A 17,090-nucleotide genomic window follows, 5' to 3' on the forward strand; every position below is an offset into this window, starting at 1 on the left:
AGGGGAAAAAGCTGTGAGAGAAGTGGAATTACAGGACCTGGTCGTTTATCAATTGCAGAAGTGCAGGAATAGGTGGTATCAAGCATGATGTCAGTTTTTCTTTCTGCTTGTGTGATTGGTAGAAAGATCTGCAATTCTCTGAGCTGGAGATGACAGGAGGGAGAGCAAACTGTGGTGGGACGGCATAATGAATTACGTATGGGCACCATGAGTGAACTACCCCTACGACTCTGGACGGAGATGTCCAACAGGCAGTTGGAAGTTCAGAGGTAGACACTCATGGAGTGAGTTGGGCTGGGGGGCTTTACTTGGAGGCATCTAGGATTTTGATGAGATTTTTCCAGAGAAAGTCTAGGGAACTTAAACTTAGACCTTTTGAACAGGACAACTGTGGAAGGTGCTGTCTTTCAAGTTGGCTTATTTCCTGCCTAATTCTGACTCTGCCACCTGCCCCTTACACCCTAGTTGCCCTGAACTCAGTCGAAAGAATTTTCCCGTCTAAAACTTCTTCTGGCAATAGAAAGTCACGACTTTTTGGTTTTTCTGGGATATTATTGACTGTGATTGTGTTGACAAGAGTATGTGCCTTTCTCTTCCTTGTTTTGGTTTCTACAAAAGCAAGTATTATTTGTAGAGTGGACATATTATTTATCATCCAAATCAGGATACTTTTGAGAGTAAAAGAGAGCACTAGTTATAATTATAGTTATAATTATACCACAGTATTAAGCATCAATTGAAACTATCTTAAGCAAATCAAGACATGGTTATGCTGATTATCTAATTAAAAATGTAGACCACCTCGAATCTTTCTACAAGTATGTGGATGTAAAAATAACACACAGGGTGAAAGAGAAAGACAGAGAGAAAGAGAGAAAAAAAAGGGAGGGAGAGAGGGAAACAGGAAGATTAAGGATAAATCAAAGATCCATTTTGAGAGTCCTTTGTGGCACTTTACCTAAAACAGTTTTTTCCTCCCCTTTCTCTGCCTCTTTCTTATGAGTGCATATAGGGTTATTTAGCTTTTTATCTCCAGCCTATAACCCAGTGCCTCATATACACTAGAGAGTCAGTAAATAATTTTTAAATACATGAATGAGCAAGTTTCTCTATTAAAATTCTCCTAAAAATTCCATTTCCAAACTACTCTGGCCAATATGAAATTTTTCCTCCACTCAAATCCTATGTCATCTCTAGTTTTAATTGCATAATTAAATATTTAATGAAATGCTTTTCTATTTTGTTGATTAATTTAGGCATGGGGATTCTATCTCTATTATATTGGTTCTATTAAAATGTACTCCTGGCCAGGCATGGTGGCTCATGCTTGTAATCCCAGCACTCTGGGGGGTCGAGGCAAGCAGGTCATGAGGTCAGGAGTTCAACACCAGCCTGACCAACATGGTGAAACTCCATCTCTACTAAAAATACAAAAATTAGCCGGGTGTGGTGGCACGTGCCTGTAATCCCAGCTACTCAGGAGGCTGAGGCAGGGGAATCGCTTGAACCCAGGAGGCAGAGGTTGCAGTGAGCCGAGATCGCGTCACTGCACTCCAGCCTGGGTGACAGAGCGAGACTCCATGTCAAAATAAATAAATAAATAAAAGTCCTCCTTTGGTATTTTCTTCTGTAAATGGGGATGAGTATAGTGCCCATCTCATAAATTTCTTAAGCTTATTGTGAGGATTAAGTCAGCTAATAAATATGAAGAGCCTGGCCAATAATAAGTGCCTATTTTATGTTAGTTATTGTTATTTTTATTATCTCTTCCAGGGAAGAGATGGGGCCATTGCACTTACTAATATTTGAACAAAAAATAGTGACTTCATTATTTAATGACTTAAAAGCATGTTAACCCAAATATGGTAAAATGGTCATGTCTGGTAGACTCATGAATGACATTCAATGTGCAGTGATACCAGATTTAAAAATTATTTTTCCCTGAAGCACTCTAATTTCAATATTTGAAACTATGTTTGTGGGGTATTCAGTTTTCTTTACTCCTTCATATGAGAGCGTATTGGCTATAGTGAAGTGGGTGGGGAAAAATGCCTGGAATTTAAATTTGAAAACCATAGTTTAACAGATTTTCATGGGTTTTCTGAAAGATGACCTTCATTCACTGCTGTTATTAATATTCTTTTTTTGGATTTTATAATATAAAAGTTAAAATGTGGGCCGGGTGCGGTGGCTCATGCCTGTAATCCTAGCACTTTGGGAGGCCAAGGCAGGTGGATCACTTGAAGTCAGGAGTTCAAGACCAGCTTGGCCAACATGGTGAAACCCCGTCGCTCCTGAAAAATAATAAAATAAAATAAAATAAGCTGGGCATGGTGGCACATGCCTGTAATCCCAGCTGCTCTTGAGGCTGAAGCAGAGAATTGCTTACATCTGGGAGGCAGAGGTTGCAGTGAGCCAAGATCATGCCACTGCACTCCAGCCTGGGTGACAGAGTGAGACTTCATCTCAAAAAAAAAAAAAAAAATGTTAAATTGTGCTAGCAGGTAGCATTGGCAAAACTTCTAATTTATCCAGAAATATGAAGCTTGGCAGATCTTAGGCAAGTGTGTCAAAAGGGTACCTAGAGTAGATTTGACTTCCCTGCTTAAGGAAGACTTCATCCCCTCATGTCAGAGTTTATACTTGAAGACCTTGCATTGCTTGGTCCTTAGTTGAAAGTTCCCCAATCCAACTTTCAGCCCTTTCCCTTTGGAACACATTCAGTAACACACTGGTCCCCGGCCCCAGTCCTCTCATCTGTAATGGAGGCAAGTGCCATGTTATAGCTTCTTTATGACTCTTGTCATCTTCTTTATTCCATCCTGACTTTCTGACCTGAAATGTTGGCAGTATTTGAAGATCTGGAACATAAGTTTTGCTTCACTTAAACCTGGTTTCTCATTGACTCAGGGTTCTCTTAGACTAGCACTGTTCAATGGAACTATTCTACAAGGATGGAAATGTTTTATGTCTACCTTGTCCAAGATGTTAGCCCCTAGGCACATGTAGTTACTGGAATGTGGTTAGTGTAACTGAATAACTGAATTTTCAATTTTATTTTAATTTAATTAATTTAAATAGCCATAGATAGCTAGTCCTATCATCTCGGACAGTGAACTACCTTTTCCTTCACAGATTTTATCTAAGTTACAGTTCCTGAGGAAAATAAAAATAAGCAAATATGCTATTTATTTATGATGACAATCACTGTTTAAACCACATGCCTCAATAGCCACCAAGACATTTAATGAAATTGTGACATACACTAGAATGTTGACTTAAATCAAAGTCTTCCCTTGACTTTGATAATGCTGTCAACCTCTTGCTTTTAGTTTCACTCCTTTCATCTCTTTAGGTACATACTGCCAAGTCTTAATGTTGGAGATCCTCAGAAATAAGTCAAAGACCATTTCCCTTTCTAGCTCAGTATTCTGTTTCCAGTTTACCGCAATCATGCCTATAGCTTCAGTAATCTCTACATCAATCACTTCCAAAGTTGTATCTTTAATACACACTTCTCTTTCAGGCTTTCTCAAATATAGCATGCTCAGAACTGAATGTGTGACCCCCTCACAATCTTGTTCTTTACATCACTGAATAACACCAATCTAGATGGTCAAGCCAGAAAGCTAAGAACCATCCTTGACATCTCTATCTCCTTCCATTAATTCCCATGTCAAAGTCATCTCCAACTCCAGTTGTTTTCACTTGGAAAATAGCTTTCATATCCATTCACCTCACTTAATCTCCACTGTTGCCACTATGATCTAAGTTACCATCGTCTCTTACCTGGATCTCCTGCTGGAAGTTTCTATGTGTCCATAGTCACACAGACCTATATGAACAGAGTTTTGTCACGTGTCATGCTCCCTCAAGTCTCAGAGCCTTTATAATGTCTCTAGAATTAAGGTTGCCCAAAATAAACTTCAAATTCACAACCCTCCCCTCCTCCTCTCTGCCCTGTCCCGCTCAACACCTGGTTCCTGGTTCATCTTGAAGTTTTATTCAGATCCTAAATCAGATGTCACTTCCTTAAGGTTAGTTTTCTTGATTCCCCAGATCATATCTGGACTCTGTTACACATTTTCCTATCACCTTGTACTTCCCCTTCTGAGCACTTATCATGATTATAATTAATTATCTTTAATATTGTCTCTGCTGTTAAAAAGATAACTTCCATGAAGGCAAGGATCTGTTTGTCTTATTCATCACTTGATTCTTGGTGCTTGAGTAAGTACATGCACATAGTAAGTGCTCAATAAATTGATTCCTTAGGTACTTAATGTGAAGTTAATTGTATATTCTTACTGCCTAAGGTTAGTAAGCTGGACTGTCACTTTATATGTAGGTTAGGAAATTGACAGGAAAATGAATTTGGTAACTGTTATTCACATTTAATCTCAATCCTCAAAACTGAGTTTCTCTGTGAATAAAACAATAAGTTACTGGAAATGTGGAGTTTTCAAAACAAACTCTTGATGTAAACTTTTATACTTCTGTTATTGCAGGTGCAAACTTTCCAGCTGTTCTGTGATATTTTAAATGTGTTTCAAATTATTCATTTACTATTTTGAGTAGTTCATCTTGGATATAAATATATTTTAAAATTAGTTAACTTATTGATACTACTCTAATTATTATTTTTTAGAACAATGTTCTTCCAAGAGACCTTGTCAGAGACTCACCAATGCCATTAATTGACCATGGTTACTGAATTCCAAAGAGTCATCAATCCTTCAGGAATAATCTTTGGGATCAGTTGTCATTATTTATCTAGCATGACACCATCTACGAGCTATGTTATTCAAAAGTGGAACCTTTTCTATTTCCTGTGTCATTGTTTCCAAACACAAATTTGACAATTTCCATGCAGGAAGGGAACATGAGTGCTTCTGGACTTGTACATGAATTTTTTGTCTTTACCTATTAATTGCTCAACCGACCTTGTAACTAGCTTCCTCCCTTTGATCTGACACTTTCTTATTTCATGCTTGCAGATGTTTTTAAGTGTTCTAATATTCCCCCCCTGGGGAAACTGGATGTTTTGTGGTAGTTGATGACATAGTTTGCTAGGCCACTATGGCTTTATTTCATAACTTTTTCTAGAAAGTAAACCATTTAGGTTGAGGACGACAAAAATTGTGGAGTTATACTAATCTAAATGTGAGATACTCTTCATTGACTTTCCTGGTTGACAAGTTCTATCTATCTAGCTATCTAGCTATCTCTTTTTAAAAAATTGAAGCCATTTACATACGAATTACTTAAAGGAACTGGAGGCTTTTAAAGATTCAGAAAATCAATTTAAAAAATATGAATGTCCACGTTTTTGAGAATATTCAAAGCAAGTCACAATATCATTTAAAAATTAGCCATGTAGTAAATATCAAATAAATTATTAATGTATATTAATTTTATTGTATTTAGTAATTAAAATGGTGAAAAATCATGAAATATTTATACTCCTCTATGATCAATAACTATTTATACAAATCTTTTTTTAGGCCATAGAAAACTTTGGTTTTCTTTAATTAATGAGTTATTTCAACTAAACATTCAACCTTTGTTTCTAGAAGCACACCTTTTTTTCATTTCCTAAGGCAAATTGTAGTTTATTGTAATTCTATTAATCATCAGACTTCGTTACTATTAAGCAACAACTGAGGAATTAAATAAAATAAAACTTTTGAAATGAGGAACAACCGTTTCCAGGTGATTACAACAATAGTAATAATAACAACCATTCATATATTCTGTTAGCAGAATGAAAAAATGTAAATATAAGACCAAACTTCATTTAAAGCAAAGGTCTAGGTTTCATATGTGCATGAGAAATGGAAATTCAATTGCTAACCCAAATCTGAACTAAAGTCATAATCAAACTAACTGAACTGTTCCAGTGTGTATGGGGGAGGGGACACTGGATGGTTTGCCTACTTTGGAGGAGGGTGTTAGTTATTAAAGCCATACACTTCAACAGAATAATTACTAAATTCAAGAGATTGATTGAAGGGGCCATTCAGATTATATACCATATGCTATTCTAAATTTTTGAATGGCTATTAAAAAAAAAGAAAAAACACGGGTTCAGATTTTTTTTCCCTATTAAAATGCACCCTGATGAATGTCTCTGGGAACACACACATTGTCCTCATTCAGGCATACCTGTGTTCTATGGTATACTTGTCTTGAAGGCATGTTATTTAGTATGGGGATAGAGAATTTAGTTCTCTGCCTCAGGTGCAATCCTGGCCTGTCCCTTTATTACCTCGGGCATATCACTTAACCTCTCTGAAGTTTAGCTTCCTCCTCTTGTAAACCGTAGGAATAATTACACCTAATTCTTCACATACCTGTGTGGATTAAACAAGATAATTCATGAAATTACACCATGAGTGTTCACTAAGTACTAATTTTTGTTAGTTCTATTATTCACCCCATGGACTTTGAATGAGTTCTCTTGGTTGGGCTTCAAGGCCTTTACATTTATTGTTGCAATATTATCATCAGAAAAGGGTGTAGTATTAGCTTCCCTATGACCGCATTTGGTAGTGTGAGTCCTGGTGTCAGTGTATTTGGGTTTCTAAGAAGACTAGACATCAGGACCAGATTGGCTGCTTCTGCCAAAAGAAACAAACCACTTCAATTTCATTAGCACAGCCCTGCAAATAGCTTTTCAAGTAGTCAGGGAAGTAAAAGTTCTATTGAGCTTGGGGCTATTTTGCATTATCTCCAAGGGACACTTTCTCCCTGGAGAGGCCACCTGCATCTTATAATTTAAGAGGGTCTCTCTGCTAAGTCCTGGAGTTTCCACACAGCTGCTGAAGACAGACACACATTCCTAGCATTTGGCATCACAAAGGGAGCTCAAAGACCAGGCGGGAATCTTGCTGTCATTTTGTCAATTCCTTGTCTGTTTTTCCCCAGGCTTCCCCAAAATTTCCATTAATCTTGGAGCCAAGAAATACAACACAATCAGCTTATGCAGTAGTCTTTGAAAAACTTAAACTTTTTATTTAGAGGTAATTGTAGGTTCACTTGCAGTTAGAAGAAATAATATAGAGAAATCCCATGCACTAAGCATCCTTTACCAAGTTTCCCCTTATGGGGAAGTTAAGATACAAAACAATCTCATCACCACAAAAATTCCTCTTGTTTAGCTTTTATACCATATCTCCCTCCCATTTCACCCTCTCCCCCATCTCCAATCCCTGGCAAGCAAGCACTAATCGCTTCCATTTCTATAATTTTGTCATTTTGAAAATATAATATAAATTACATCATACAATGTATAACCTTTTGGCATTATCTTTTTTGATTCAGCATAATGCTCTGGAGATTCATCCCAGATGTGGGTGCATCAATAGTTTGTTCCTTTTCACTGCTAAGTAGTGTTCCATGATATAGATGAAGGACATCTGGATTGTTTGCAATTTTAGGATAATATGAATAAATCTGTTATGAATAGTTATGTGCAGGTTTTTATGTGAACCTAGGTTTCTGCTTCTCTGTAATAAATGCCAAGAGTGCGATTGCTCGGTGGTATTGTAATTACATGTTTAGTTTTATGAGAAACTGCCAAGCTGTTTTCCAGGGTGACTGTACCATGTACATTCCACCAGCAATCTATGAGGAATGTAGTCTATCTGCATCCTCTCCAGTATTTGTTGTTGTTACTATTTTTAATTTTAGGTATTCTGACAGGTGTGTAGCAATACCTCATTGTGGCTTTACTTGGCATTTCCTCAATGGCTAATAATGCTGAACACCCTTCTCAGCAGTCTTTTGCAGATGGTATACTTTAAGAGCTAGTATGCCGTCTGAAAGGGGTATCCACTTTGGTAATTGAGACCAAAATTAATTTGTCTGGATGCGAATCAGGTCTGAAAAAGAGAGAGAGTGTGTGAGCTGTAGTATGCTTCATCTTGAACTCAGGTTTCCTGAATCCAAGCCAAGTGAGCTTAACCAGACCCTACCACTAGTATACATCAGAGATGATTTACTTGCTCTGAATTGGGTGGTAAAATAGAGCAGTTTGATGGCCAGTTAAGAATATATGAGTAATATAGTGATTCTCTGTGTAATATCTAGCAATTTAGTGTCTACTGGGAAATCAATAAATAATTGAATTTTTATACATACATTTTATATATATGTAAATTTACATACATATATGTAAATATCTGCATATAGGTGTATCTATGTCTCTCTAGCTATCTATTTATCTAGAGAGGAGATGTATTCTTCCAAAAAACTTACATCTTTTTTTTTCTAAAGTAGGCACATTAGAAGTTTTGTTTCACCATTTACAGCAGGGAATATATTAAGAACATAGTGTTCTTATTATCTCAAGTTAATCTCCAATGTTGGTAGACATCCCTTAATCAACTATCAATGGGGACAATGCTACATCATCCTATTTGGAGAAGCCTCAAATAGGATACATCGGGAAGAACAAAACATCACTGCTATTGTATTTCTGCCCAAAATTCACAAACAAAATCTAATGATAAACAATCAGACCTACATAAATAAAGGGAAATTTCATAGAATAACAGGTCTGTACTCTCGAAAAAAAATCAAGGTCTTGAAAGTCAAAAGAAGAGCTTCAAGATTAAAGAGAGCTAAAGAGCCTTTGCTCAGAATAAAGACTACTGCAGAGATGATGAACAGTATGTGTGACTGAGACATCCAAATCCTCAGAGAGGCTGCATTGCATTATTGAGAAAGTTGATGAAATCAAAATATGGCCTATGAATTAATTACATTTAAGTTTCCTTGTTTTCATCATTGTATTGTTTTAATGATCTTTGTATGCCTTATGTATGGGCACAAAGTCCTTGTTGCTAGGAAATAAACACTGAATTATTCAGAACATAATGCCTGCAACTTACTCTCAAAAGGTTCAAGCACTACAAAAGTGTGTGTGTGTGTGTGTGTGTGTGTGTGTGTTTGGAAAGACAGGAAATAATAAAGGAAATCAAGTAAAATGTAAACTATTTGTGCATCTGGATTAAGAATGTGTGGAAGTTTTTTGTACTATTCTTATAACTTTTCTCTAAATTTGAATTTATATTAACTAAAATCCCCTCCACCCCCAACAAAAGAAAGGAAACCCATGCCTGTTCAATGTATTCTGTAGTTCTCATTAAGTATTAATAGGGTCAGTAATGAAGGTCCTGGTGGAAGAAGGAGTTCACCCTCTTAATATGCAGATGAGGAGACAGAAGCTCCCAGAAGTGGAATACCCTCTCAGGTGCTTCCCAGGAGGGTGATGGAGGAGCTGGGACTGAAGGTGCCTTCTGATGCTTTCCAGTGGCCCTTGCTTGAGCTCTGGCTAGGCTCACACACAGAGCAGGGAAAATGGTAGTCAAGGGCTCTGTTTACAGTGAGAGACTTTATGGGGAGTGGGAGGAGAAGTGAGGTGAACTGAGAATTGTAGAAAATTTCAGAGGTTCAGAATTTACACATGTATCATGACTCCTTACTCTGCTCTGAGAGATGTCACACCACTTTGACTTTGCTAAGAGACACACTCTTTCTATTTGAACCTAAAAAAGGACAAAATTCTGATGAACACCTCCAAAGCCAGCTGTTGTGCAGACCCAGCTTGTAGATGGAGTAAAAATAATCCAAAAACGTGCTCAATACAGGAAGGGGTAAACAATGAATGTATCTAATTCAGAAGGAAGGTATTTCAAAGGCAGGGGCTGATGTGGCCAGTAAAAGAAATAGTTACAAGATGGAATACGTACTAAGTGAAATGCACCCCAGAAGTAATCTCAAGTAAGACAGGATATTTATTTTATATTTATAGACTCATGGAGAAGCTAAGCCTTTCCGATTGTGAGCCTACACTGGCAGTTTCTTCCATGTGCAGATAGCCCTAAGCACCTGCTTGTAGACATTAACAGGTTAGGAGACATGCAATTAATAGCTGGAAGGTCATAGTTCCTGAGGTGATCTCCAGAGCTGAACTCTAGTGCTGAGCATGACAGCTAGCACAGTTTACTCAACATGTTGCTGTTTAAATAGACTTCAATATGCTTTCTCGTTTACCTGTCACAGAAACCCTCCGGATAGACTATCTTGAGAGAGGCAGGGCTTGAGCTCCACCACTTGATATAAACCAGCGCTCTTTTCATCCCAAGATGAGGCAAATTCCCAGAGATGATCTCCCCCTGCACCCAGTGTATTTACAGAAAGGGTGAAGGCCAAAAGTTGGGCCCTTGAAACCAAAGAGCAAATGTATTGCCACCCCTGGAATACAGGATCTTTTAGATGCTGGTGTCTCATGGCCATTAGAAGAAGATATTTTAAATCTAAATATTGGAAGAAGTAAATAAGGATCTACTTTCAATCATTCAACAAATATTTATTGAGCATTTACTATGTTACAGGCACAGTGCGAGGCTACGCAGACACAACCTTGAGCAATACAGGTGTGCATTTTGCACTTGTGGTACATATAGGCTAGGGGACAAATAGATAAAAGCAACTCTGCAGCATGTATTCTAAAGAAGAAGCCCAAAGGGACAGGAGGTGGGATAGCAGGGGTCCAGCTCTGTCCTAGAGACCAGGAAGTCCTCCTGGAGGAAGTGAGATAGAAGGCCTGGGGTGGGGATGGGATGAGAGGAGAGAGAGCTTTTCAGGCACAGAGAACAGCTAAAGAAAATATATATCTATATGACTTGTTTCTGTGGCTGAAACAGTAAGGACTTTAATGGGAAGTGACCTCCAACCACACCCTCACTTCCTCCTAACCACGAACACACTCATTTTTCCCATTCAAATTCCCAGAAATGCTATTAACAGGAATCTTTTACCATTATTTTCAAAAGTAGCCTTGAAATGATTTATTTTGTCAAGTTCTCAGCAGAGAGAACTGCTAACACTAATTAAATCAGAACCTCAGGCAGTGGTACCAGGCATGAGTATTGTTTAAAGCTTCCCAGGTGATCCCAAAGTTCAGTATAGTCAAGCTTGGGACTTTAAACCCATTCTTGATTATGGACGCTGGTTAAGACAGGGAGAAAAAACAACTCTGGCACTGAGAGGTGGGGGGGAATGGTGAAGAGCTATGTTCTAGCTTCTGAGGTTTGTAAAATATGTTATGGAAGTGAAGTGAGTGATGCCCAGAGAACCCAGGATAATGTCCTCATTTGGGGTCTTTATAAAATTTAATTTTGAGCATTTATATATATATATTTATTTCCATAGGTTTTTGGGGAACAGGCGGTGTTTGGTTACATGAGTAAATTCTTTAGTGGTGATTTGTGAGATTTTGGTGCACCCATCACCTGAGCAGTATACACTGTACCCAATTTTTAGTGTTTTATCCCTCACCCCCTCCCACCATTTCCCCCAAGTCTCCAAAGTCCATTGGATCATTCTTATGCCTTTTCATCCTTATAGGTTCACTCCCACTTATGAGTGAGAACATATGATGCTTGGTCTTCCATTCCTGAGCTACTTCACTTAGATTAATGGTCTCCAGTTCTATTCAGGTTGCTGAAAATGCCATTATTTCATTCCTTTTTTATGGCTGAATAGTATTCCATGGTGTAGATAAAGCACAATTTCTTTATCCATTCATTGATTCATGGGCATTTGGGCTGGTTCCATATTTTTGCAACTGCAAATTATGCTGCTAAAAACATGCATGTGCAAGTATCTTTTTCATATAATGACTCCTTTCCTCTGGGTAGATACCCAGTAGTGGGATTGCTAAATCAAATGGTAATTCTACTTTCAGTTTTTTAAGGAATCTTCACACTGTTTTCCATAATGGCTGTACTAGTTTACATTCCCACCAGCAGTGTAAAAATGTTCCCTTTTCACCACATCCCTGCCAACATTTATTATTTTTTGATTATTACCAGTCTTTAAGGAGTAAGATGGTCTTCAAGGCCAAAAAACCCAAAAGCAAATGCAACGAAAACAGTGACAAATAGGTGGGACTTAATGAAATAGGAAGTTTCTGCACAGCAAAAGAAACAATCAGCAGAGCGAACAGACAACCCACAGAGTCAGAGACAATGTTCACAATCTATACATCTGACAAAGGACTAACATCCAGAATCTATAAGGAACTCAAACAAATTAGCGTTGAAAAAAAAAAACAACAAACAAATTCCATCCAAAAAAAATGGGCTAAGGATGTGAATAGACAATTCTGAAAAGAAGATATACAAATGGCCAATAAACATATGAAAAAATGCTCACCATCACTATTGAGCATCTGTATTTGACTATGAAAAGATTGAGGGCTAGATGTGGTGGCTTATACCTCTAATCCCAGTGCTTTGAGGGGCTGAGGCAGGAGCATCATTTGAGCCCAGCCTGGAATTTGGGACCAGCCTGGGCAATATAATAAGACCCTGTCTCTACAAAAAAATTGAAAACATTAAAACAATTAGCTAGGTGTGTGATGTGCACCTGTAGTTCCAGCTAGTCAGGAGGCTAAAGCAGGAGGTTTGCTTGATCCTGGGAGATCAAGGCTGTAGTGAGCTATGATCCTGCCACTGCCATCCAGCCTGGGTGACAAAGTGAGAACCCTGTCTCTAAAAATAAAAAACATCAGGAGCTCAATGTTCAGGATGCCAATGCAGACTTTTCACTGTTGTTGCTGGAGAAGGAAGAGGGGAGTAGACGGTGTGAGCCCCGGAGAATTCTCTTCTGGCAACATCTTCCTGTAGAAAACAGTGTGACAAAGCTGTGAATCCCCAAAATTCATTCCTTGATAACAATTGTGTTTGCACTACATAGCCTGAAGCAAAGCTAGCAGAGGTAATAGCTGTTGAAAAAAAAATTAACGGGCACGATGACTGATCTATAGCTTCATCATAACATAAATTATAACAGGAGACGGAGGGAATGGCTTTTTGGAAGTCCTGCTTTTCTGCAGAGGTGCAAGGCCCTTGCTGCTTTTCCAGCTATTGTTAAGTTTGCTAAAAATAAGATCTGTGCAATATGTAAACATCACCCCGCCCCAAGTAAAAATATGGATTATTCAGATGCTAGAGGCAGGAGAGAGTCAGATGTTGGCCTAAGGCCTTAAGTTCATGTCCCTGACAGGCTCTGAGCTTGTCAAAACTGCTCTTCAATCCCCTTGCTAATAGCATGGTGTGCTTCAGTAACTGAATTGGTCACGTAATTAGCATACTCCTCTGGCTGGGAAGAAATCTGCGGGTACACTCTAAATTAAAGAAAACCAACTTGTTGTGCCAGGTTATATAATTTAATGAAGAATCTGTAGACGGTGCCTTTTAAAAAGTATGATTTTGGGTATAAAATTAAGCACTCACGCCTAACGTTTCTCTTTTAGCTCTCAGCCAAGGCTCACTGTTGTGTAAATGAATTAAATGCAGCCAAAGGCCCATCTGCTTCACAGGACAGAATCAAATGAGACCTGGATGCTTGGGGTCTATTTGCCCTTGTTTTGTAGCATCTTGGGCAAACCAGCACTGATGTGCAATGTGAGAGGCGAATATTTCTGCTTTTATCATTGTTGTAAGCCACATATTTTTTTCTTACCTCTTCTCTGTTTGTTCTTTAAACAACAAAAAATCTGGTGGTAGATCCATCTGACCTCACTGAGTCCAAAATGGCATCTCCCTCTCCTTGTTCTTCCTCTCTGGCCGCTCCTTTATTTTTCTTCTTTTCTTTTTCTCTTTCATCTGGCTTCTCCACCCAAAAAGCCAAGGGAAGTGAGGTAACAATAACTTTGTTGCATTTCACCTGGCCCACCCAGAGAAAATCTATTTCTAGGCAAATGCGGAAAACCCAAACCTTGTGGAACGCAACCGGCCCTTTAATCTAACATCCTCTGTGAGCTGCAGAGTCTAATGTTTAATTTGAAAAACAATCTGAAAATAGCATGAAAGGAAACGTGGAATTTGCATAGCTATATATATGTTTAAGATAGTCATAGTCGTTTTGGAAAATACTGTGTTTGAGAGCTGACCCTTTACTTGAAGTTGCCCGAATTTTCTGGACTCCTCTGAGATAAGGAGTGTAATTGTCAGTTGAGTGATGGTTGCTTTTCTGCACAGTCGTCTTGATATTAAGGAGTCAGAAGTCCAAGCCTGTCATTTTGGAAAACTGAATGCTGATATTCAGAGCTGTTTGAATGACCAAAACTAAAGTCACAATGACAACGAGGTTCTAGTTTATTTCTAATATTCATTGGATTGCCACGCTTTTGAGAATCTTGTTAAAAATCTTCTGTTTTCTCTTCCTTTCCTTTTATCTTTCTTCCATCTCTTTCTCTCCTTTTCTTTGCCATTTTCATGGCCTTTTAAAACATCTTTTTCTGCATATTTCTTTTTTTTTTCAAAGTTTAAATTGCACTAAAATCTTTATATAGGCATGGCCTAAGTTTGGTTTATTCCAGCCCAGTTGCCTACAGATGAAATCCTTTCTCCATAAGCCCTTTGAAGGACAACTTCCATTTCCAAAGCCTTAAATTTAATAGCTGGAGAAAAGACAAACAAAATCTCTACTGTTTCAGGCTTCCTAACATTTCTACCATATTCAAGGTGCCTTTAAAACAATCTTTCTGAAAGGTGCTGGGAACTCAGATATCAAGCATAAGCTCTTCATTTGGTGAGAGACGCTCAGCAGGTTAAGGAGACAAGGCAGAGAGTGCAGAGGTGTAAAAATTTAAGGGTGATTTCAAACCAGTATATATGCCTCTAGGAAAAGGATTTTAATCTTGGGATCCATGGATCGAAGTCAAGGAGTTTGTAATAGTCCATTTTCTGTTGCTTATAACAGAATACTTGAAACTGGATAATCCAGAAGAAAAGGAATTTATTTCTTACAGTTAGGGATGCTAATAAATCCAATGTTGAGAGGCCGCATCTAATGAGAGCCTCCTTGCTGGTTGCATGGCAAGGAGGATGACTGTGCACATGGGCTAGCTCAGGTTGCTCTTCCCCTTCTTGTAAAACCACCAGTTCCCCTTTCATGATAACTCATTAATCCATTAATCCATGAATGGATGGATTCATTCAATTCTCATTGAATTGAGCCCTTGTGATCCAATCACCTCTTTAAGGCCCTACCTCTCAATACTGGCATATTGGGGATTGAGTTTCAAAAAGTGTATTGGAAGGGACATTCCAACTATAGCAGGGTCCATGAACTTAATGGGAAAACATTACTTCTTTGTATTTCCTAAGCTTTTGTTGAAATATAGCTTTTCTACCAATTATAAATATGGACAAATAACCCACGGTAATGTCAGCATTCTGTAACATATTACAATACAGTTGTTGATGTAGAGACATCTGGTCTCAACAGATGCTTTACGTCCAACACTACTTAGATATTATGGTAAATATTAGACCTACCACTAGATCTTTCTACTTAAAGCGTTAGTAAGGGAGCACATGCCTCACTACAGCAATTAAAAATATTATTATAGATATGTGGGAGCTAAGCTATGAGGAGGTATAAGAATCATACAATGGACTTCAGGGACTTGGGGAGAAGAGTGTGAGGGGGGCGAGGGATAAAAGACAACAAATATGGTGCAGTGTATACTGCTCGGATGATGGGTGCACCAGGTTCTCACAAATCTCCACTAAAGAACTTACTCATCTAACCAAATACCACCTGTACTTCAATAACTTATGGAAAAATAAAATTAAGAAAAGACTATAAATATTTCATTATTGATGTTTTTCTTAATAATTCTATATATTTTATTTAATGCATTTAAAAATTGTTATTCTGAGAAGCAGTCAACGGCTCCATTGAATTGTAAAATGAGTCCATGTAACAGTAAAGGTTAAGAACCTTGGCTCTTAGAGGAAATTATTCTTCCAACTGGATACTTTGTGGTCCTTGATTTTGGAGAAGGGGAGGGGTATAAAGGAAGAGGAGAAAAGGAATCTGGAATTTGTTTTGGCCTAACAGAGCTTCTGATTGTTTCTGTTGGTTCTGTGTCCAGAGCTAAACACCTGCATAGCAATTTAAAAATGTGGAGAAAGGAAGAAAGAAAAAAACATAGTTTACACTAGACAGGGGCATCTAGGGCAGCACCAAAACAAAATCCTGGCCAGGTGCGGTGGCTCACACCTGTAATCCCAGCACTTTGGGAGGCCGAGGCGGGCAGATCACTTGAGGTCAGGAGTTTGAGACCAGCCTGGCCAACATGGTGAAACCCCGTCTCTACTAAAAATACAAAATACAGCCGGGCGTGTTGGCGAGTGCCTTAATCCCAGCTACTCAGGAGGCTGAGGCACAAGAATCACTTAAACCTGGGTGGCAGAGGTTGCAGTGAGCCGAGATCGCGCCACTGCACTCCAGCCTGGGTGGCAGAGTGAAACTGTCTCAAAAGAAAAAAGAAAAAAAGCAACAACCCCACAAAAAGTCTCACAGCAAAACAAAAAACAAAAAACAACAGCCTTCTCACGTTTTCTTCCCTCTTTTTGGACAATTTTTTTTTCTGGTGCCAATACCCAAGCTGCTTTTCCTTTTTTTTTTTTTTTTTTCAGCAGTGTTAGAAATGTAGTTTTACATATATTCTAGAAGATACTCACGCATTTCAATGTTACTTTCCATAGGAGGAACTTGTAGGCAAAGCTCCTGTGCCATTGATTGAGCCCTTTTTCCAAACTGTCACACACTCACAACTTTTCCTGCCTAAGTCTTTGCTGATGACTGTAAAGTCATAATAAAAGGCCAGCTTGCCATGGAGATTGCTATTATCTGTGGGAGAAGTTGGTTTATTTGCAAGACTATAGAAGAGTCTATGAACTTAGATGGGAAAATAATATTTCTTTATATTTCCTAAGCTTTTGTTGAAATGTACCATTTCCATCAATTATAAATATGGACAGTAAACCCATGGTAATATCAGTACTCTGCCATGTATTACGATACAGTGGTATTGTCAGTAGGGGCTAGAGGTATAAACTGACAGCTACTGTGTATGCTAAATTTCCAGCTGTGAACCACATTGACTTTGGGAGTTAATAGTTGAAGTAAAGTGTATGTAATGAGACATCATGTTTTTCCAGAGTTTCTGTTAAAATAGTCTCATCAGAGTAATATTGAGAGGAAGAGGCCCTGTCAGAAAG

This window comes from Homo sapiens, chromosome 20 (genome assembly GCF_000001405.40).
Source record: "Homo sapiens chromosome 20, GRCh38.p14 Primary Assembly".
Taxonomy (NCBI): Eukaryota; Metazoa; Chordata; class Mammalia; order Primates; family Hominidae; genus Homo; species Homo sapiens.